This window comes from Homo sapiens, chromosome 12 (assembly GCF_000001405.40).
Source record: "Homo sapiens chromosome 12, GRCh38.p14 Primary Assembly".
NCBI lineage: Eukaryota > Metazoa > Chordata > Mammalia > Primates > Hominidae > Homo > Homo sapiens.
In genome coordinates this window covers 108,228,513-108,252,377 of record NC_000012.12, presented here as the reverse complement: position 1 = coordinate 108,252,377, position 23,865 = coordinate 108,228,513, and the positions used below count along the sequence as shown (strand labels likewise).

Below are 23,865 nucleotides of genomic sequence, written 5' to 3'. Positions count from 1 at the left end.
ATCTCTGTTGTAACAACCTCATGGGGTTTGTCAGGAGCCACTCGAGTCCTTTTCCTTCTTTGACTCACAGTCTTCTCCGTGAAAGCTTTCTGATCACTTTGAGATACCTGCTTAGTACTGGTAAAACGTACATTGCTGGAGCATAGATTTGTGTCTGTCTTATTACTTTTTTAGTTCCTAGAATTGAGAGCATTGCCTGGCACATGGTAGATGCTCAGTAAATATGTGCTGAATGAATGAATGAATGAATGCTACCTTGGTTCTTTCTGGGTCTGAAATACAAAGATCTTATTCCAGATGGCTGATGAAGTGTGATAGGAAGGGCAGAAATTAGCCGAAGAAGAGGCTGGTAAACTGTCCAGCCCCACCTATGGCCTAAAGGGCTTTCGCGCCACCCCCTCCCACCCGACAGTGATCTGTGGTTGGGGGCAGGTGGAAAGCAGGGAGTTGCATAAGGCACATAATCTGAGAGTTCTAAGAAGGACCCGTGAGAGCTTGGGGCTAGAAGCTGCATGGCTTCCTGCACTTCCAGTTGGGAGGATTTGGTCGCATGGATAATATTTAGAAAAGTGAAAGAAAACTGGCACATTGGTTCAGGGCTCAGCCTGTGACCTAAGTCAAGGCTTGATCTGAGATCAGGGGCAGGACCAGGCTCAGGGCTTGGAGTGACCAAGATCATGACTTCTGCAGGGCCAGGACTGGGGCTCCCCCTGTGACCAGAATCAGAGCTCAGTCCGTGACAGAGATTAGGGCTCAGTCAGGAGACACTATCAGCATTAGTTCTGGGGCAGGTCAGGGCTCAGTCTGTGACCCAGGTTGGAGTGTAGTCAATGACTAGGGTGAAGGCTCAGTAGAAGTAGTTTGGGACTCAGTCCAATGTGATTCAGTCAATGTGGGGCTGGAATGAGGGGTTGTGGATCAGTATGTGCACAGGATTAGGGCTCAGTCTGTGATCAGGATCAGGGCTTAACTTTGACTCAGGTTCAAGGCTCTAGGATTGGGCTCAGTCTGTGACCAGGTCAGACTTGGTTTAATACTGGGGACAGAGTGTAGCCTGGGCCCCAGATCAGAGCTCAATCAGTCATCACAGAATGACTTTTGTGAGCCAAGATGAACCCGTAGAGAAAGGCCCTGTTCTTCTGGATTCTGGAACAAACTCACACCCTTTCTGAGATCTTCCTCTCCCCTCCCCACCACAGTCACCCCAGCACTCTCAGTCCTCCTGAGCTCTCCGTGCTTGGGGGAGGAGAAGCCCCTCTCTCTTTCCTCTGCCTGGCCCAGCTCCTACCCCGCTTGCTGTCCATGTGGCAGTATATAACACTTTGCCTCTCCCTTTGGCTGGGAAACAGCCCCTGGACATCAGCACCGCCTCACAGAAGCCCCTCTGATGCATGAGGAGGAAGAACACAGGGTCTTCCTTCAGCGGTATGTGGAGGTTTAGAAACACTCATCCCCACCCACCAGGGAACAGAGCAGACTTCTCTGTCCTCCTGGACTCTCACTGACTTCCCTGCTGCATATGGCTGTGCAAAGCATGATGCTCAGGGTCTGTCTCTGTGTCTCTGTTGCTCTCTCTCTCTCTCTCTGTCTCTCTCTCTCTTGCTTACATACACACACTCTCTCTCTTACAAACATACACAGAAGGGATGCCTCTCATAGATAACCTCTTCCATACCTGTGCACATACTCAGGTAGGAACACTTCCACCACACTCTAGTGACCTCATCCCACCCACCACTTCTCCCCACATACCCTCCCTGTCACAGCAGCCAAGGACAAAAGGTATATGCAGAAGATGTGCCCCCCCTCCAAAATAGACAGGCAGCTTCTCACACATGGATTTCATGCACACTGACCATTTCCTCCTTTACACGGGTGCAATTCCATACACAAGGACCTGCACAGACTCATTACAAATAAGATGGTCATACCGGCAACTTGTGGGATACAGTTTCAAAACATAGAAAGGCAGGAGAACACAAAGGCAATTTTACACACAGAGGCACGTAATTCTCCCTGAGCAGCTATGCCAGAGTCACACAGGCACAAAGCAGTTATACACCAACCCGCCTGCCACCCCGAACATTTTCTGTCTATCTCTGTTTCTTGTCTCTCTCTCTGTCTCTCTATGCCTCTCTGCCTCTCTCTGTCTCTGTTGTCTCTCTCTCTCTCTCTCATACACACACACACACACACACACACACACTAGGAAAACATCCCATTTGTGAACCTGTCTTACACAACACTCTACCACATGGTAGAATCATCAACAAAACTCGCATTTAATGATGGTGTTGACCTGAGGAATCTTCAGGCAGAAGCTTGTGGTCAGAGGGGACCACCAGCAAAGAACTGACCCAGGTCTTGGACCAAGAGTCTCCCAGAGAGAGTCAACCTCCCAGTAGAAGGGAGGCCAACCCCTCCACTGCTTCATGAAAGAAGACTAAAAATTCTCCTGGGGGAAAGAAACACGGTACAAAATACATTCAGAGCCCCCTGGGTGGGCCTGGGGCAGCCCAAATCCTACAGATGAGGGAATTGGGGAAGTGTGCCACAGGTCTAATCCCTGTGCCCTTGCTTTGCATGGCCAGGTTCCAAGGGGCGGAATGTATTAATCATATTCCTCTTACAAAAATATATCTCTTTACACGCACCTTCTCCATGGTCTCTTTGCTACTTGGGAATGAGCATTTACCTGCACTCCAAGGCTTCAGAGGGACTGCCTAGGGAGGCTACTCCAATAGAATAGCAAAGAGGCTATGACCTATGGCTTTTTCATCTACATAATGATGGATGGTGCAGGTTTGGACTGGGTGGGAAGCTACTGGTATCCAGGGTTGGGGAAGAGATGGGACTCTGGACCAACACTTTGTAAGATTGATGCTCCGTGATTTAGGTCCTCAGAAATCCTTCGGTTTGGCATTTCAGCATCAAGAGAGCAGTGTTTGTATAGAAATGACACAATTTCATTCACCCCATTCCTTAAAGGGCCCCCAAGGGAAGCTGGCCCTGTTGGACTATGATCAAGGGGAGATATATGGTCTGGGAAGGTAGTGGGGGTCCATTTTGGGTGTGGTTCCATCTGATTAAGAACACTCTTGCTGTCTCACCTGGATAGCAAAGGACCCATTTGTAGGGGTCAGAAGGGCAGTGTAAGACTGACTGGAGCCCACCATGGAGAGATGTGTCACTGGGGCTCTCTCTTAAGTCAAATTCTGCACATGGCATGTGACCATCCTCGTGGGCTCACTGTTGGTGCCTGAGGTTCCTTGAAGGTGGTATCAGGATCTCAAGGTCACCTCCTGGACACAGCATGGATAGAAAGGGGCAGGGTTCATGCCCTGGAGGTGGAAAGGCAAGCAGCTCATTTCTGAGAAGCAGTGTGGCCTGGGGGGCTCATAACACCAATGGCCCCACATGGTGTCTCCAATTAACCTACTGTGAGCACCATTACCTCCCCACACTATCCAGGATGTCAGAAACCTAAGGCCACGGAGAAACTTCCCAGCAATCTTTCTTTAGAACAGAAGGTGGCCTGAGTTAAACATCGGTGCCAGCACTTCTTGGGTGGAGATGAGAAGGGGGCTGCGAAATCTCAGCCCAGAAGGGACAAGCATCTGGGGCCAAGTTTTTACAATAGCCCCCTGGGCTCTTGCATCAAGAGCCTTGACAATTGCCATGGGGCATCCAGCAAGTCTCCATGATGTGGATGAGCCCTCCCTCCCACAAATGGAACCCAGAGTGGTGGGGGCAGGGACCCAGGAGACAGAAAAGAGTCCATGTAACTAGAACCCCCTAAACAAGATGCCCCACATTGCCAAGGGGGGAACATGTGAGCAGAGTGGTAGTGCCTGGGCAATCTCTTCCCTTGAGCCTCCTCTGTCATGCAGGAAACTCATTGAAGGCAAAGAGCAGCCAAGGGGATTGTCCCCAGACCAAAGAGAGGACAGATGAGTGGGGGTAACCAGGGGTCTTGAGTCCCCAGGGCCTGCGTGGTCAGGACTCCCAGTCTACCCTCCCCCTGTGTGGACGCATCATCTTGGGTAGTAGTCATCGGGGACACCCGTTAGGTTCCGCCCTTTGAGGGCTGCATCCACCATCTTGATGTAGGCAGAGATGGTCTTCTGCATGTCCGCAGTATAGGGGTCATACTCGAGCTTCCGGAGCCCTGAGCGCTTGAAGTTGCCATCCTTCTGGCTCTCCACACAGAGCAGCCGGTCCTCCCTGACAGCCACGCCCAGCAGGCTGACCATCCGGCCCAGCTGGACAAAGAGGTCCTGCTTCAGGTCCTCAAAGTGCACCACCAGCACCTTCTTGCCAAACTTGAGCCAGTCCAGTGTGTGAGTGGCCCACCACGGGGCATAGTTCCTCACGAACTCTGGCCACTCTGCAGAGAGAGGAGAAAGGACACAGTCAGAGGGAGGAGGAGTTTGAAAGACCCAGTCAGATGGTGCTGGCAGTGGTTACCATTATTCACAGCACAACACGGTAACACAATTAACAATTAACTGTAATAATACAGGCCAGGTGAGGTGGCTCACACCTATAATCCCAGCACTTTGGGAGGCCAAGGCTGGAGGACAGCTTGAGGCCAGGAGTTAAAGACCAGCCTGGGCAACATAGCAAGACCCTGTCTCTACAAAAAATAAAATAAAATAGCTGGGCATGGAGGTGCATGCTTGCAGTCCTTGTTACTCAGGAGGCTGAGGTGGGAGGATTGTTTGAGCCCAGGAGGTCGAGGCTGCAGTGAGCTATGATGATGCCACTGCACTTCAGCCTGGGTGACAGAGCAAGACCCTGCCTCTAAAAAACAAAAAGAATAACAACTTAGCTCAATTCACTCCTTTTAGAGCTCTAAACACACCCCGATACTTCTCACCTCAATGCTGTTTCTCCCTGGAATATTCTTGACCACCACCTTCTCTTTGGGGATAACAATGTTACTTGTTTGGTGATTACTATATGCCAGGCAAACCCCATGTATAAGTATGTGTTACTGTAATATAATATACAACATATTATTATGTTATATATTATTTATGTTAATATATATTGTGTATTTTAGATTACATACTTATATATTAATAAATATATTAATATAGCTTTTAATTCTACTTAATCTTCACAACAACCTTAAGAGGTATCACCATTATCTCCATTTAACAGAAGAGAAAACCGAGGCACAGAGAGGTTAAGTAATTTGCTCAAGGTCATATAGCTAATAACTGGCAGAGCCAGGATTTGAACCTAAGCAGTCTGGCTTCAAAGTCTGGGCTTTTAAGTACTAAGTTTTTCTGTGTAGTAGTGGTATCTCCTCACAGGATAATAATGGAGCTCTTGTACAAAGTAGAAAAAACATATAACAAAGTTTCTAGCATGGCACGTTGAGTTCAGCAGGTGCTCAATCAATGTTGGCTATCGTTATTACTGATATTATTCTGTTTTCAGGTCATCTTCTTAGACTCCCTGGGCTCAGGCGGGTGCCTCCTCTGGGTTTCACAATTCCTCTCTCCGTCCCCTGCAGCCCCCCACAGCACTCATTATGCTGTGCAGAAACCCCCCACTTCTGTAGTCTGTCTCCCCAGCAGACGGTAAGCTATCTGAGGGCAGGGTTTAAGTGGGACTATTTTTATCATCATCTTCACACATTTCTTTCCTACCTTTCTTCATTTTTCATGGAAGTGTCATGGTGAAATGACAGGATGGATTGTCATGCAAACTTGGAGGGTGAATTTGGGACTGTCTGACTTGAAAGACAGGTTATAGAGAACCTGGGGATTCCATGGGGAGAGGCAGTCAGTTCCTGGAGCTGCTGAAACTCCCGCAGAAGGAGGAGCTGGGGAAAGTGCAGAAGGGGAACCTGGATGGCGTTGGGAACAGAGAAGAGGAATCACAGCCTCAATTCTGAGCCCCAGCTGGAGAATCAGAGGGCAGGAGCTCCAAAACCATGAACTGAGACCTGCTGCTTCTCACAAGGACAAACACTACCCGGTGCCTGCCAGAGCAGGCAACAGAAGAACTCTGTTTATTGAACGAGGGTGGTGAGTCCCCCAGGCTGCACTGGGGAGCCCAGCTGCTTCTTAAAAATTAAGTCCTAGTCCCTTGCTGGGTGATGGATACCCATTATCTTATTTAATCCTGCTGACTACCCTGAAAGGAAAAGGACTACTGTCTGCTCCTCACCAGGGAGGAAACTGAGGCTCAGAGAGGTGAAGTGACTTGTTCATGGCCACACAGCCAGGAAGGACCGTCCAGATCAGGCCTGCCTGGTTCCAGGATGGATCTTTCCCAGGCACCAGCAGCCTCATCACCACTTCCTCCCACTGCCTGTACTCAGCAGGTGCTCAGTGAACGGTTGTTGAACTAAATTGAAATTTGCAACTGCCAAATTGCAGTGTGGCGAAGGCCTCCCTTTCTTTGCAGAACACATCAGAATCTGTGGCAAGACTCCTTCCCCACCAAGTCCCCTGGAACATCACAGCTGTTTGGGAGATATTTATGCTGCTGACAAGGATATTTTTTATCCTTAAAATAGATTATTTATAATGTATCTGGCTAATTGGGCCCGTACTGTTATAATGGGTTAAGACCAGATGTATCTGAGTAATTAGGAAAAATTGAGCATGTTGTATGCTCTGTTTTCCTTTTTCAGAATTTCCCCACTCCTGCATCACCTCACAGCATCACTGGTGATTCAGAACAGCTGCTACTCTCAGGGGAGATGCCCAGGTGATAGAGACGGTGCTTGTCACCCAGCACCCAGCAACAACACAGATCCAAACTTCTAGGCTTGGCCACCTCTCACTATCTCAAGTGGTTGCTGAAAGAGGGCTGCAGGATGGCTCAAGAAAAAGGAAGGAGTCTCTCAGGTAGCTCCAGGTATCCCAGTCTTAGATGCAGGTGGGATGGAGATGACAGAGTGTCCTTGTTGACTGCAAACTTCTGTGGGACACCAGGTGCCTCTGTCTGAGGGGCAGGAAGGGAATGTATGTTGCCTGAGCATTTCTTGGGCGTTGGGAGCTATGTGGGGCACTCTGCATGCATGATCTCATTCTGTGCTCTCAAGTAGCCTAGAGAGTAGGAATTCTTAATACTGGCTCCATTTTAGACACAGGGAAAAGGAGTCTCAGAAGCAGGAGCAACTTGCCCAAGTCTACACAACGGGCATTGAAGGCAGAGTTCCAACCCACACCTATCCCAGACTGAGCCCAATGGAAAACAGTGTGGAGATTTCTCAAGAACTAAAAATAGAAGTACCATTCAATTCAGCAATCCCACTACTGGGTATCTACCCAAAGAGAAAGAAATTGTTACATAAAAACACACCTGCACACATGTTTAGTGCAGCACTATTCATAATAGCAAAGATATGGAATCAACCTCAGTGGAGGACTGGATAAAGAAAATGTGGTACATATACATGTTTGTGCATGCATATATAAAATATTGATTTTATATATTTACTTATATATATTAAGAAACCTGCACTTGTACATCCTAAATATATAAAAATAAATAAATTTTTAAAAAGAAAAAATAGAGCACCTGGTCTGATCAGCTCCTGCCCTCTTTTCACTCCAGGACCAGGGAAGCATGACTTCTAGGCTGCCTACTGCTCACTTTACCTTCAGGCTGTTGTCTGAGACCTGGGGTCTGTTTATAGATGATTCTGCAGTCAGACTGCTGGGGTTCAGGACCCAGCTCCTCCCCACATGAGGTATGTGACTTTGGAGACATTACTCGATCTTCAGCCTCAGTGCACCCATCTGCAAAGTGGTGATCTGGATAAGACCTACCTCCTACAGATGCTGTGCAAATCGAGCGAAATAAGATTTGCAAAGATCCTGGTACGGCTCCTGGGACAAGCAAGGTGCTCAATAAATACTGGTTAGTGTTATGATTGTCCACGATGCTATTTGTCCTCCTGTATCTCCTGACTCTCCACATGCTCCATCATTTTAGTCCAAACATCCCTCCAAAAGCACAATAGATATCCAAGCTGTTTCAGCAGCAGATGTTTGTCCACCTGGCCCCCTCCTATGGCAATGCTTCCTCTCTTGAAACTCTCAAATTACTTCATTGGAAAGAAGAAGAAGAAAAATTAAAAACCAAAGCCCTCGTTTAACTCAGGATTCCTGATCATTGATTGCTGTCTGCAAACTGGGCAATAAAGCCATGGAACATTGGTAATGAGTTCTGGTTCCACCGGAACTGTCATACAGGTGTGCCTGGCGGGGCACAGGCTGGCCAGCCTCCCCTCCATCTTCTTGTTGATGGAAAGAACTGGGGCCTGATTAATAGTTTAACTGTACTTAATTCCCCATGGAATGATTAAACACAGTATCTGTTTCATTAAACAGATCCAGGACAATTCACCTTGTATAATCATATCACATAAAATTTTGCTGTGAACTCACTCTAGGGAGATTGTAAAATTAACTCTATGGAACCAAAAGCAGAGTGGGGGTGGTGGTTCTAGGAGTCTGGACTGAGCTGTAATTGGGAGGGTGACAAGGGCATGGTGGGGTGGACACACTCAATAGCTAGGTGACCTTGGCTCTTACAGGGTGATCTTCACATTCTGTCACCGAGGGCATCCAAAAGCAGCACTTCTCAAACCTTAAAGTGCACATGAAGTATCTGGGGAAATCTTGTTAAAGTGCAGATTCTGATCCAGGAAGCCTGGGATAGGGCCTGACATTTGCTTGCCTAAAAATCTCCCAGGTGATGTCCATGTTGCTGGTCCACAGGCCACATTTTGAGTAGCAGGGACTTATAGCAATGGTTCTTAAACTAGGGTGCTCATCGGTATCACCTGGAGGGTTTTGTTAAAACACAGATTGTGGCTGGGCGCGGTGGCTCACGCCTGTAATCCCAGCACTTCGGGAGGCAGAGGCAGGTGGATCACGAGGTCAGATTGAGACCATCCTGGCTAACACGGTGAAACCCTGTCTCTACTAAAAATACAAAAAATTAGCCAGGTGTGGTGCTGGGCACCTGTAGTCCCAGCTACTTGGGAGGCTGAGGCAGGAGAACAGCGTGAACCCGGGAAGCAGAGGTTGCAGTGAGCCGAGATCACACCACTGCACTCCAGCCTGGGCAACAGAGTGAGACTTTGTCTCAAAACAAAACAAAACAAAAACAAAAAACCACACACACAGATTTCTGGAGCCCCACTCCCAGAATTTCTGATTCAGTGGGTTTTAGCATTTCCAACAAGCTCCCAAGGGATGCTGATGCCACTGATTCAGGACCTTAAAGCAAGGGTCTCAAACTCAAGTGTCTCCAGGGGCCAGATGGTGAATGCAAAGGGGAAGAATGGGCTGAGTGGAGACTGGGGGTTCTGTTCTTTAAGGAAGTCTCTCTACCAGAGCCCTTGCATGCCTGGGTCAGGCCTTGGAGGGGGCACTTGGAGAAGATCCCTTCTCCCATCTCAGACTCATATGGGACCCCAGGCCCCCAATATGAGATGAGTGTGGTGGATCCCCTTATCCCATACTCCCTGCAGCCTCTCCGTTCAGCCTGTTCTGACTCTTTCCTTAGTATTGGTTTAGAGCTCCCAGCTGTTTTGAATAAGGAAAAAGAGTGGGGCCTGTCGGTGTTGGGGAGGGAGAGCATCAGGAAGAATAGCTAATGCATGCTGGGCTTAATATCTAGGGGATGGGTTGATCTGTGCAGCAAACCACCACGGCACACGTTTACCTATGTAACTAAACTGCACATCCTGCAAACGTAACTCAGAACTTAAAATAAAAGTTGAAAAAAAATATACTGATGTCCAGGCTCCACCCAGTAATAGTCCAGGGTGCAGCCTGGGCACTGGGGTTTTCCCACTCTCCTCTAGGGACCGTAAGGAGCAGCCAGCACAGAGGCCCACCGAGGTCACTGATCTCCCAGGTCTTTTCCAGCTTTGACAAGCAGAGTCTGTGCTCTTAGGACAGGCTACTACCATTTGCACATATGGATATCTCAGCCTGGTGACCAGTTTTGCTTTTGATTGACTGTTCTACCAATAAATAATTCAGAGGCCTCTCTACCCCTGGGAATAACTGGACAAATGTCACCACCTATCCAAGCTTCCACCCCCTCACTGAGAAGAGGAGTGAGGCAGAGGGAGGAACAGAAAAACCGCCTTGAGTGAATTGGGACCTGAGGGGCAGGCCCAAGGGTTTTAATCAACGAAGTCAGTGTTGAGGGTGTTATGGGTGAATTGCTGAGTTACGTCATCCTGCCCTGCTCTGTTCCTCTCTGGGGAGGGGCTGGAGTACTGGAGCAGCCTGGTTCCTGGAGGCTGGATGAGCTGGGGACAACTCACATTTGCAGAGCGCCTGCTATGTGTCGGGGGCTCTGGACTGGGTGATTCATAGCCACCAATGGTTCATCTAATCCATTATCACAGCGCAGTGCTGAAGAGCGTGGGCTCTGGAGCAAGATTCCCTGAGTTCAAATCCCAGCTCTACCACTTTATGGAAAAACTTCTCCCAACCCCAGCTTTATTAAGATCTAATTAATATACAAAATACTGCACATAATATCTACAATTTAGTGACTTTGGTTATATGGATACACTCATGTTACCATCACCATAATCCAGGTAATAAACATTTCCATCACTTCTGGAAGTTTCCTTTAGTCTGTTTTCTTTGTTCGTTTTTGTGTGTAGTAAAAAACACTTAACATGAGATCTATCCTCTCACCAAAACCTTAAGTAAAGAATACCTTCTTGTTAATTAGAGGCACTATGTTGTACAGCAGGACTGTGGAATTTACTCATCTTGTATAACTGTAACTTTATACTCATTGAACAACAACCCCCTATATCCCCCTTACCCTGGAAAAGCTCCTTAACCTCCCTGGACCTAGGTTATCCCATCTATCAAATGGGGCGATTATGGTGGGGATTTAAGAAGTTAGCCTTTTCCGAAGCCCTCAGTAGATGTGACTTTCATTATGGTGGTGGAGATCATCCTATAATGGATATGGGACTTTGAGGCTGAGAACGGTTAAGAATACTCAAGATGGCAGAAGTTGGGTCTGACTTCAAAGCTCTGGCCACTGCCCTGGGTGGCTGCTCTGCATTGAAATGTTGATCCACACAGCCCTCTGTCACCTAGTAAGTGCCAGAGCTGAATCTCAAACCCAGGTCATCTTAGTACGTTCCATGCTTGGGGCTCAATGCTGTCATTTCCCAGCTGTGTGATGCAGGGCAAGTCACTTAACCTCTCTGAGCCTCGCCACCCAGAGTTCCTGGGAGTGTTCATTGAAATGATGCCCTGTACCTGTGCTCTCAGGACCTTGTGGCAACACAGGCACTGACCTGGGGCTGGATTCAGGTCTCTCGACTCCCAGGGTGGGGCTCTTTAACCTGCTTCCATCAATCCCACATCGATTTCATGAGCATCTCCAGTGCCATGAAAGTCACACCTACTGAGTGTTTGTAAAATTCTTAAAGCCTCACAGTTTTATAATCTTCACTTTATAGATGGGGCCATGTAAGTTCAGGGAGGTTAATGAGCCCTTATGGGAGGTGGTAGAGCTGAGATCTGAACCCAAAGAGTCTTTCTCCCAAGCCCATGATTTTAATCCCCTGTGCGATGCAGCAGCCCGGCTCACAGAAGGTGCTGCTTGTGGGAGGTGGGGGGTTGTGGGAGGCACCTACTCTACTGGAAGCAAGGACTGGAGCATGACACGCGCCCTCCAGGATGTCCTCCAGGGTTCCTCGCATGAGGCATTGCCTCCTGCTGGTCACGCTGGTCCGGAGCACGGGACCCTCCCACCGCCCCCTGCAGCCCGAAGCCCCTCCCCTCCCCTCCCCTCCTCTCCCGAGCTGTACCTTTGCCCTTCCAGTGGGCATGCGCAGCAAAGCCTATGTGGCCGCCGTACTTGCGGTTGAACTCAGCCATGAGGGCTTTGTAGGGGTTGCGGATGAGCAGGATGGCGGCGTCGAAGGCCTCGATCTCTTTCTGGCCGCTTTCGTGCGTCTTGATGCAGATGGTCCGTCCGCTGCGCCAGTGGTCCCGCTCACCTTTAAACCCTTCCCGCAGCCAGAGGTGAGGAACAGGACTGGTGAGCTGGGGAAGCAAGAAGCCCACCCCACTCTCTTCTGGGCCACCTCGGGAATCCTCATGCATTTGTTCACTCAGTCATTCGCGTATTTATTGAGCACCTACTATGTGCCAGGCACTGTGCTAGGACCCCGGGATTAAAATGACTTACAAAAACATTCACGGGTCTTCAAAAATATTCACGAGTCTTCCTGTTTTTGAGAGTTAGATTATTCAAATAGTGAACACAAATAAATGTAAAACCACTGCCCTGGTGAGTGTTACAAAAGGGCAGTATTAATGCTTGGGTGCTAGCTAGGCACAGTGGCTCACGCCTGTAATCCCAGCACTTTGGGAGGCCAAGGTGGGAGGATAGCTTGCTCCCAGGAGTTCGAAACCAGCCTGGGCAACATAGTGAGACCCCATTCTCTACAATAAAAAATTAAAAAAAAATTAGCCAGGCATGGTGGCATGCACCTGTAGTCCCAGCCACTTGGGGGGCTGAAGCGGGAGGATTGCTTGAGCTAGAAGGTTGAGGCTGCAGTGAGCTATGATCATGCCACTGCAGTCCAGCCTGGATGACAGAGTGAGACCCTGTCTCTTGACAAAAAAAGAAAAGAAGAGAAAAGGCTTGGGTGCTGTGAGAGGGGCCAGACAGTGATATACTGGGTGATTGCTCTTTGTGGGGAGTCAGCGTCCCTACCCTACTGATGATGGGCATGGCCATGTGACTTCCTGTGGCCCATAGAATGAGGGCGGAAGTAGGTCTTTAGCACAGTCTCAAGACACATCATATGTTTCTGCTTACTCTCCATGAGGGAGCTCTGCTATCACCATGAAAGGACATGCCCTGGGGGTGGGGGATGGGGGATTGGTCCCAGATGATGACAGACACATAGAATAGACATGGTCCTAACCTGCAGCCTGGAGGTGGGCAGCCCAGTCAGCTCAACCAAAATCACTGACCTAGTCAAGTGGCATCCAGAAAGGTTTCCTGGGGGAAGAGATGCTTAAGCATAGAACTGAAAAATGAGGAGAAACTTACTAGCTCAAGAGAGCTGGGAAGGGAGGGCCAGGTGCTGGGAAACGTAGGTGCAAAGGGCCTGTGGTGGGTGGGAAGAAATCTGTCACATATGAGTGACTGCAGAGAGAATGCAGGTAGCAAGAGGGGAGCATGGGGCTGGAGAGGTTTGTGGGGTCTGTGATGAAGAGGCCAGCACTAGACCAGAAAGACTGGAGAACCCTTAAGAGGATTTAAGCAAAAAAGAGGGGCATGATCAGATTTTCCTTTCAAAAGCTGAGGAGCTGAGAGAAGTTCTGTGCAGCTGGAGACTAGTCTAAGCCCTTTACATATATTAAGCAATCCAATCCTCTCAACAATTCTATGAGGAATTTTACAGATGAGGAAACTGAGGCAGAGATGTCCAATAACTCGCCCAGGTTACAGAGCTATGGAACAGGCAGAGCCGAAATACAAACCTGGGCTCTGGGCACACATGTGTCCTTCACCCTCTAAGTGCCCCTTAGCTCATGCAAGCTAAGGCATTTGGATATGGTATTAAGGCCAGGTAGAAATGTTATTGTAGTAAGCCTTCAAGATACTGGCTGTGTTTACAACCCAATGAGTCATTCTGGATATCATGTCACCTCTCTGGGCCTCAGTTTTCCTCATCTGTAAAATGGGTCCATGCACTTTCTCCCTCACAAGGCCATTGTGAGAAGTCAATGAAGCCCACAGTAACACTTCAATAAATGGCAGCTAATGCAGAATAAGACTTAGGGTGAAATCATGGACTGAGAAGTCGCCCCGTATCATCAAACCTTGGAGTATGGCTTCTTCCCTCCCTGTTGTGCTCTGGCTTTTAAGATGGATGGAGGTGAAGACTGGCTTGATATCTGCTCCTGTTCCTGGAGACAGGGGTCCATAGAGGTGCAGCCTTTCTCACATGGCCACTGAGCAGAAGAGCCAAGAATGGAATGTGATTTCTTCAGTCAGGTTCCATTCTGGGACTTGCCAAGTTAAGTTGCCTGGGATAAGCCTAGCTTTGCAAATTAGCACTGGCCCGTGCCCATGAGAAAATATTAACCCACAGCCTTTGAGGTCAATGGGAAGCACAGTGTCATGGAAAAAATCTCCTCCAGAGGAGAATGAGGAATAGGATGTGGGAGCTTGAGAGAGAGAGACAGCTTCAGACATAAACATTTATGCAAGGCAACCCTGGATATAATTTCGTGTCATGTATTCTGGTAGAGCTCTGCATGACATGGACAAAGGGCTTTCCATCCATGGTTTCATTTTATCTTTACCAAAATCTATTTCACTATAAGCACAGCAATGGAAAACACAGGCAGGGGGTATACCAGAACTCACACAGATTCTTAACAAGGAAAATAAATTGCCAGAAACATGGAAGGATGGTCAAACTATTTTCAATCAGCTCCATGCATTGGGAGACCCAAGTTACAATATTTCTATTTGTTCATGATGGGGTCAATTTAGCACAGTATTTATCAAGATTAAAAACAAACAAAAACAAAAAACCTAGAAAAGCTATAAAGATTGGGAAAGATCTGTTTCATATTCCAGATTCTGGTTGCCTGAGGAGTTTATCTATAGGAGTACTGCAAATGTAGAGAAAATTCCATTTAGCAGAATGTCTCCCAGAGAGGGAAGAGTACTATGTCTGGAAAGGAACTTTTGAGAAGGCACATAGAATAGGTTTGCCTGAGGAACAACAGATAGTTGCTCAATTGTCTTCTAAAGAGGGCCTGTCTAGGTAACTGCAAGGGAATCATGGATGCAAGCTTTGAGCCAGAGCGGAATTGCCGGACTCCACCACTAGGGTGTCCCCCTCTCCACTGTCCTTAACACCCAGGATCCAGCATCTCCATGACGTAAACATGATATATTTAAATCCTATCTTTTAAGAGTCACCAAAATATCAGCTTATCTTGGGCACCCATGTGACCCTCAAACTCTAAGGAGCTGCCCAACTGTCCCAGGATTTGGAGAAACAATCTTGTTCAGGGCCACAGAGAGAACAAGACATGTTTTTCCCTTCTCTCTTCCAAACCTCTGTTACTATAGTTGCTCGTGCATTTTTCAGTTAGGGGAGCTAAGGAACAGAGAAGGGAAGTGGCAGATACTGCACATCTCTGCATGCCCTAGAGTTTACTGGGACAGGAAAGTCCCATCTTGGCTCCAGGCATGGACACCCCTGAAGGCTGGTGGTTCTCCAGGACACTGGGATTTGTTTTGAGGACAAGGAAATCCTCAGAAATTGTTGTCCTGCATCAGCTGGGCTGAGAGGCTGCCAACTCTGTAGGCTGATGTACCAGTCTGAGAACATCATCCTGCCCTTCCCTCTTCTGTCTCCCCTCCTTCAGAAGTCAGGGCTCTGGCTCCTCACATACCGCAGAGCTTGAGTCTGCATTAGGACAATGAGGTCTCTGAGATGGGGAGAGGCAGGGAGAGGGGGGATGAAGCCCAGGGAAAGGGGAACAGTGAGAGAGAAAGACACAGTTACCTGGAGAGAGGGAGGGACTGAGACAAAGTCGGGGAGAAGGCAGGAGTTGGGGGAGATAAACAGACACAGAAATAAAATGAGACAGAAACAGAGAAGGGGAGATAGACACCTAGAGAGAGAACAGAGAGAGACACAAAGAGAGAAGCACAGAGAGGCAGAGGCACATACTGGGCAGAGGTAGACATGCAGAGAAAGGAAAGGACAATTAGAGAGAGAGAGAGAGAATGAGAGAGAGAGAGAAAGAGCGCCAGATGGCAGATGGACACAGAGACAGAGAAAACCATGCTTTGCAAATGGCAGTTGCACCCAGTGAGGGAAAGGGAAGAAAGACCCAAGTGGGACAGACATTTGGATTCTGGGAGGGAGAGGTCCCTACATTTCTTCATTCATTCACTCATTAATTCCCTCCCTCCCTGCCTCACCAGCTCACTGGTGGAGTGGACCCTTTTCCAGACTGAGGGAAGAGCAGGTTGCAGAAAATGTGGAGGAAAGAGAGAAAATGTCAGGCAGCCTGTCAGGCCTAGGAGGGTCTGGGAGACCACCCATCTGATACATGCTTCTCACAGAGCAGGAAACTGAGGTCTCCAGGGGCAGGGGAACATGCGTCCAGCCATCCAGCAAGTTGGTAGCAGAAGAAAAGAAACTCTAAAAGACTTAGATAAATCAGCAAGAGTTGCCAGGGGATCAGCTCATTGTACAGATGATAGCACGTGCAAATCTCCAGTGCATTCTTGAACTACAAAGAGCTCATTATACCTGGAGTCTGAAAGGGGCTGCAGAACTTTGCCCCAGTGTGGCAAATGCGGCAAAGGATTTCATGAAGTTAAGCATCTTTCAGCTGCAAGGTGATGTGGGGAGAGACTGGGCAGGGTTAGCTAGATTGACTGATGCTGTTGGGGGGCAAGCGGCTCTTCATTTTGTCTATACCCCTACTGCCAACTCCAAGCTCCCAGGGAGAGTTCAATGTTAACTGCAAGGGCTCAGGCTGCGGGAAGGATTTTAAAGCTCCTAATGAAAAGGCAACTACATTCAAAGCCTCAGCTGCCTGTGACCAGCCCACTACCCCCTGCCTGTCTCAGTACGAATGAAGGAAACATCCAGTAACTAGTCACAGCTTGAGGCAGGGAATTGCCACAGGGGGGTTATGTTTTCTTTTTTTTCTTTTAAATCAAGTTAAAGTTTTAGTAGGTGTCTCACTCCATTAATGACCAATTAATATTGCCCACACTAGAGTATTAACAAACACAGGAAAAAAATGAATTTTTGGAATGTTTTGGGTCTGGAAGTAAGAATGCTGGGTTCTTTGTCTAGGGCCAGGGGTCTTGGCTCTGGTTTTGCATTGGAATCCCCTGGGAGCTTATAGAAAACACCCATGCCTGGGCCCGCTCCTGACAGTCTGATGGAAATGGTCTGAGATGCCGCCTGTGTGTCAAGACTTTAAAAGCTCCCTGGGCAATGCTAATGTGTAGTCAGAGACCAACCCCCTTTGCCTTTGACTAAGTAAATGACTGTCCTGGCTACATAGCATTTAAAAAATGTCTATTTTACACCACAGGCTCACACATATTATCTCACAAACATTATCTTGTTATATTTTTTGGAAAATCTTTGAGTTCAGTACTGACATTCCTGTATTATAGATTAGGAAATTAAAGCTCAGAGAGGTGAAGAATTTTGCACAAGCTCTCATAGCTGATAAGTATCAGAGTGAACTTTCAGACTGAAAATCAGATCTCTTGACTCCATCTTAAGATTCCATTTCTTCTTCTCTGAAGTTAGGAGGTTGAGTTAGATCAGATGGCGAATACTTGGTGTATAGGCCACCATTCCCCATTCTCTACTTTCAACAGGCGTCACTACTAGATTAAGGCATTTTGTTTCAGAGAGAGAATAGAAGAACCTCAGAATCTTTCTTAACACATCATCCTTAAGCAAAAATTCATTGGAATCAACACTAGATGAAACCAATTTTGATCCCTGAACTAAATAATCCTGAGGGACCCTTCTGTTTGTGACATTCTGGGATTGCATGAGTAGGGTTGCTGCCACAGCCAGGACAGTGAGAATGTGGGCCAGCCATGGCATCCTTTCTGAACTTGCATTCCACAGCCACTGCTTCAGGACAAGCCAAAGGGATTCTGGAATATCCCAATGCTCTTCCCAGCAGCTCCCACAAGGAAGCACAGCATAGGGGTTAAGATCATAGGGACTGCTGACAGCCAGCCCTGGGTTCAAATCCTGATATAAGCATGTAATACCCTCAGCATGGAGCCTCATAAGTAATAGGTGCTTAATAAACAATCACTCAAGCCAAAACTGGAAATTAATAAATATATAAAAAGCTAGGATTCTTAAGCAGCTTCCCCTGCCTGACCCGTTGCCAACTCCAACCATTAGCCTGTCCCTCTTCACCCTTCTTGCTTTTCTCCCCCAGTCTCTGCCTCCCTCCTGTGTCTCACCCTGAGAAAGACATGCCCCCTGGCTCTCCCTGAGCTAGGGTTAGCGGATGACTCTCTATCAGCACCAAGCTGTGCCTGGTTAGTGCCTGGCACCCAGACCAGAGTACCCAGAGCCAACTTTTATTGACGACGTTGAATGCGGCCCAACACAAATTCGTAAGCTTTCTTAAAACATTATTAGATTTTTTTGTTATTTTTATTTTATTTTTAGCTCATCAGCTATCATTAGTGTTAGTGTATTTTATGTGTGGTCCAAGACAATTTTTCTTCTTCCAGCGTGGCCCAGGGAAGACAAAAGATGAGACACCCCTGCTTTGAAACAACCTCATGAGGTACGTACTCTTATCTCTAATTTGTGCATGAGGACACAGGATGAGAGAGGTAGGTACAGTAAATTGCCTAAGGTCACACAGCCAGGAAGTGGTCTTCAGCTGGTTTGCAGACACAAAGACCATGGCCAAGGGCTGCTCCACATGTAGATGCAAAGTCTCCCACAGGAGGAGGCCTTGCTTCCCTGATGTCTCCCACCATGCCCAGGAGAGGGCTTCATGCCCAAGGGGCATTTCATCCATGATTTCTTGTTCCTCAGTAAGAAACCCAGGAATTTCTTACCTGTGTGATAGAGTAATAAAGATGTGGGCTTTGAAACTGGGAAACACTAGAATGCAATCCCCAATCAGCTTGTTGAAAAAAAAAATTGTGTGACTTTGGGCAAGTTATTTCTCCTCTCCAAGCCTCAGTTTTCATTTCTGGGAAAGAACATCATCATCCTACCTCACAGGGTTTCTATGCAGGGTTAAATAAGAATACAGCACCTGGCCACCTACTAGGTGCCAAGAGAACATCTTTGGCAATCTCAACCTACATGAGGTGCCTCACACACAGTTGGTGCTCCACAAATGCATGTTGGGACACCTAACTTAGGAAGTGCATCCAGAACATTCCGGTGCTCAGTAAACATCTGTGAATGGAATGAAAATAGAGCACCCTGCATAGCGAATATTGTCGACTTAAATGTGGAGAGGACACCTGGTGAATAGTAGGTGCTCAATAAATGTCCCCAAAGTGAACTTAGTTCTTGTACCTCTATTACATCAAAGAGTTGCTGGTCAGTAAACATCTGTAATGAGGTACCAGCACACAGTAGGTGTGTAAGAAATGTTTGTTGTAACCTAAATGGAGGAAAGGTACCAGGCATAGGATAAGTACTTGACAAATGTCAATTATTGAATGGATGCTAGTGGAGTATCCAGGACATGACTTAAGAAATGTTTGTGGGGCATAAAGGAAGGTGGGGGGGTACCAAGCATGCAGTGAGTCTCAAAAAGTGTGCCTGGGAGAGCTGAGTGGCACACAGTAGATACTCAAGGAGGAGTATTCCCATACCCTCCAAGTGGGGACCTTCCCAAGCCCAGGGAACCTCTTGCCCTGCCCTCCCTGCCATCTCCTCACCTTTGTTGTAGAGGGAGCCATCGAAGTAGTAGCTGCCAGTGTAGAAGCCTGTGGCCAATTCAATGAGGTGGCGAGCCCACGTGTTGCCAGCACCTGGGAAGCTGGCCAAAGCAATGAGCTGCTTGGACTTGCCTGGCAGGAACCTTCTGTCCATGCAACGGTTGTCTGAAAAGGGCGGAGCATGGACAGAGGTCAACACCAGGGGCAGATGGAGCCTGTCTGAAAGGGCCAGGGTATGAGTCACACCCCTGCCACTTCTCAGCCAGGTGATCAAGGGCACAGGACACTTGCGTGGGTCATGGGAAAGCTTCCTTGGGCCTCAGCTTTCCCATCTGTAAAATGAGGGAGATGGTTCCTCCCTCATAGAGTTGAGGTGAGTGTTAAATGGGATAATGATGGAAAGGGATAAGCACAGTGCTTAGCCCATAGTAGGGATCCAATAGAAGTCAGCTAGGAGGGTGAATCTTCTCTCCAGCCCCAGTTTCCCCCCAGCAGAGCAAGTCTTTCCCATTCACCCCTACCCTTTCCTCCAGATCGAAACCGTCAATGGCATCCGTCGTGTATTTTTTGTTATTCTTGTATTTTGCGGGCTCTGAAAAGCCAGAGAATCAGGAATATCCAAATGGTACTCACCACCTCCCAACCCATTTTACAGATGAGAAAACTGAGGGCTAGAGAAAAATAATATCTATGCCTTTTGAGTATAGGATGCAGTCCAGGGTTCTTATCTTGGCCTCCAAGCCCACATGGTTGGCCTTTGCAAACTCACAGGCTCATTCTAATCCACTCCACCACATGCCAGCCACCTGGTCTCTCTGTACTTCCTCTCCTGTGCTTTGCTGTGTCCTGACATAGTGCCTTCATGCATGCTGTTCCCTCTCCATTGCCTCCTACCTGCCTTTGCTTTTTGTTCTTCAGCTCTCAGTTGAATGGGTCCCACTGTCTATCCGTCTGTCCTTCCTTCCTTCCTTCTTCCTTCCCTCTTTCCTTCCTCCCTTCCTGTCTCTCCTCTTTTCCTGACTCCCTGGGCTATCATTAGTGCATTACTATATCCATCTCCTTCATATTGTTGATCACAATTGCAATTCAGATAATTATGCATGCAATTAGTCGTGTGGTCAGAAACCCTGCCCATATTGTGTTTTGCTGATTCACCAAAAGTTTCCACAATATCTGGTATACAGCAGGTACTTAATAACTGCTTCTTGGACGGATGCATGAATGGGTAGAATGGTGACTGGGTGGATAACAATAATATCTATTTTGTAGGGCTCTTGTAAGGATTGAATGAAACAAAGCATGTAATATGCTAATACTCTAAAGTGCTCAAAAGGCATAGATATTATTTTTCTCTAGCCCTCAGTTTCCTCATCTGTAAAATGGGTTGGGATGTGGTGAGTACCATTTGGATATTTTTGATTCTCTGGCTTTTCAGAGCCTGCAGAATGCCATTACCATCAGAGTTAACAGAAAATGCAAGCCCCAGCACCTCCCACTGCAACCCCAGAGGGAGCTAAGAAAGCACAAGCTTTTCTTTTGGTTCCCTCAGTTGCAAAGGCAGCTGAGGGAAGGCTCAGAGCAGGGGGCGCTGGAGCAGAAAGGAAGATGAGAGAATCCCAGATCCAGGCCTGGAGGCCCCAGGTCTCAGTGCTGCCTTCTTCAGCCTGGGGCAGATGAGCTCCACCCTTATTTATCATCCAAGGGAAGGCAGGCAAACCTCCCTCACCTCCCATGGCCCCTCACCTCCATCTCTCCCTCTTCTGGGGAAGCCACCCATCCCCTGCTCATGTATGTGTTCTCCATTCCCTCCTTCTCCAAGCTCTTTGCTCCTTCCAAACCCCAATATTTTTTCTCTCTCAGCTGGCTCAATCACATTAGCACTCAAACAGGAACAAATAGCTCCCTCGTTTAGAAAGAGCCCCTTCCAGCGACCACCAGCTCCCCTTCACCCCATCACCGCCACATTGCCAGCAGAGTTGTCCACATTCCTTCATGTTTCCTCCCTTCTATCTACTCCTTGGCTCTTGCACTTGGCCTCTTCCCTGGTCACTGCCCTGGACCGGTTATGGGCAAGGTCCTCAGTGACTGCCCCATGCTCAATTCAAGAGACAAGCTCACCTCACGTGATTACTCGGGCATGAGGGCAGAGCGCTGCCCTCCTCTAGGTAATTCCTTCCCAAGATTTTACCAGGGTCTTCCCTGTTCTGCATTAGCTGCTATTTATTGAAGTCTTACTGTGAGCCTCATTAATTTCACACAAAAGCCCTTTGAAGGAGAGGTGTGAAGTCCTAGATTTAAATTCCAATTCTTCCACTTACTTTTTGGGTGACATAGGAAAAAAATGATCTGTCGGAGCCTCAGTTTGCTCACTTATAAAATGGGACTATTAAGCAGCGATGACAGCCTGAGGTTGTTTAGGAGAATGAAATTCTTGAATGAATGCAGTGTTAGATTGAGACAAACATGCCGGAATTGCCCACAGAATCGATTGTGGTTCCTGGTATTGTTCCTGCTAGCTGGAGGTTCAGCTTTCTTCTCCTGCCTGTTTAATTTTTGTTCTGAGATGATCAGATTTAGGATAAAATAAACCAGGGGACATCTGTGTCGAAGCCAAGTAAGCTTCAGGGAATGGTTTTCATTGGAATACACTGCAAAAAGGAGCCCAGACACAGGGACTTTATAGAATATGGTTATGTTTTATATTTTGATAGGGGAGTGGATTAGCCAGTTGATATTAACTAGTACACTTAAAATATGTGCATTCCACTCTATGGAAGTGTTACTTCAGAAAGCTAATATTGAATTATATAACCAATGACAACATCCTGAAGTATAATGATGCTTGCAACTTGCTTGGAAATGCACCAAAAATTAGGAAGGATTGAGGGATGGAGAAAAGGAGAGATGGACAATAAAGTAAATACAGCAAAAGTTAATGTATGTCACAAAATTCTATGGAATGAGTATATATGTGTTCACTGCATAATTCTTCCGACTTTTCTGGAGGTTTGACTTTTTTTTTTTTTTTTTCCAGAGCAAAATGTTGGGTTGATAGGTCGGGTGGGGCAGACCAGGCTCCTTAATGTCCCCCCAAAACAGAATTCTCTATTCAAATATTTCCTGGGAGGCCAAGGCCAACCCGAAGGTAAAAGTTGTGGTTTTCAATGCTATAAAGAAAGTTGATTTGGTTCCTAAGCCCCATACATTAAGCAACTGTTGCAGGCAGTATTATATGCAGTTTTGGAATCAGACCGACCTGGGTTTCCATCCAGAACTGTCATGGCCTACCTGTGTGACATGGAACAAGGCTTTCCCCTCACTAAGCCTCAGTTTCCTCACCTATAAAACAGGGCTAATAAACCTTACACAATTATGTGGGATAATGAGTGTGAATTTTTCACAATGTATTTTGAGAAGCTAGGGTTGACAGTGCAGTCTTGGGACCTAGATTGCCTGGGTTTGCATCCCTACACTGCCATGTCAGAGCTGTTTGACTTTGGCCAAGTTACTCAACCTCCCTGTGCCAAGTTACCTCATTTGTAAAATGGTAATAACAGTGCTTATGCAACTGGACTGTTTGGATGATTAGATGATTTAAGGCAGGTAAAAGATTTGACAGAGCCTGGCACAGAGCAAGTGTTCAATAATTATCCCATAAGGGGCATCAGGGCTTAGCACACAGTAGGTGCTCAATAAATGTCAGTCCTGGTGGGCCAGGCTCTTGGCAGGCTGATGAGCCACATAACTGTCAAACCTCCCCAGTGTGTAGAAACTGCAAGAGTGACGTGGCAAAATGGAAGCCCTAGTAATGGCCTGGGGGTAGGGCACTGGGAATGAGCAAATTCATCAATTAGGGAATTGTTATCTGCGTTGAAAAGGCTCCAGTGTCTGTTCTGGCCACCTCAAAGCCATTCATGATCACAGGGTAATTAATCTGTGTATGACTTTCCCCTGCAGGCTAAGGCAGCACAGCTCTGCACAGACTAACCAGCACTTCCCCGAAAGCTAACAAAAACCCATCCTTCCCCATCGGACTGTAAATAGGTCCAAGAGCCACATGCTCACTAGGCTCTCAGAAGGACTTTAGCTACCATAGAAACAGCCACAGTTGATCACCACTGGTACCCCATCAGTCAAACAGGGACAGGCTATTGGTGGGGCTGCCACTAGCTCATACAGCACTTTTGTGCAAATCAGAAAAAGGTGCCCACTCCTTCCTCTGGACAGATGTTCTGCCATCCAGGGCACACAACATGTGGCTGGCTTTTAGGCACCACTTTTTCTGTTGGCTGTGCCAGTGCAATGCTCAACCTGCTCTACCACATATGGCAGCTTGGTGACTGGGAAATGAGAAGGAGGAGGTCTAGCCAAGTGGTGTTTTCT

The 23,865-nt window shown here is 47.5% G+C and overlaps 1 protein-coding gene and 1 long non-coding RNA gene across 15 annotated transcripts in view; one reads left to right on the top strand and one right to left on the bottom strand.

Annotated features, from left to right (window-relative positions):
• Positions 1–1,840: 1,840 nt before the first annotated feature.
• The window catches only part of WSCD2 (WSC domain containing 2), a 121,250-nt gene continuing 99,225 nt past the window's right edge, over positions 1,841–23,865 (bottom strand). For 12 of the 13 annotated variants that reach the window (XM_017020244.2, XM_017020243.2, XM_017020248.2 and 9 more), the window contains 3 exons: positions 19,483–19,647; positions 11,834–12,034; positions 1,841–4,387 (listed from right to left, as the gene is read on the bottom strand). In XM_017020244.2, coding sequence (XP_016875733.1) covers positions 4,035–4,387; positions 11,834–12,034; positions 19,483–19,647 — 719 coding nt within the window. In that variant the 3' untranslated portion in view covers positions 1,841–4,034. Of the gene's footprint in view, positions 4,388–7,796; positions 8,075–11,833; positions 12,035–19,482; positions 19,648–23,865 lie in introns of those variants that run through there. The other variant, XM_047429914.1, reaches the window with a different exon arrangement.
• LOC124903077 (uncharacterized) overlaps positions 11,925–23,865 on the top strand; it is a 49,492-nt gene continuing 37,551 nt past the window's right edge. The window contains exons 1-2 of one of the 2 annotated variants that reach the window (XR_007063583.1): positions 11,925–12,050; positions 18,307–18,362. This is a non-coding gene — a long non-coding RNA (uncharacterized LOC124903077). Of the gene's footprint in view, positions 12,051–18,094; positions 18,187–18,306; positions 18,363–23,865 lie in introns of those variants that run through there. The other variant, XR_007063584.1, reaches the window with a different exon arrangement.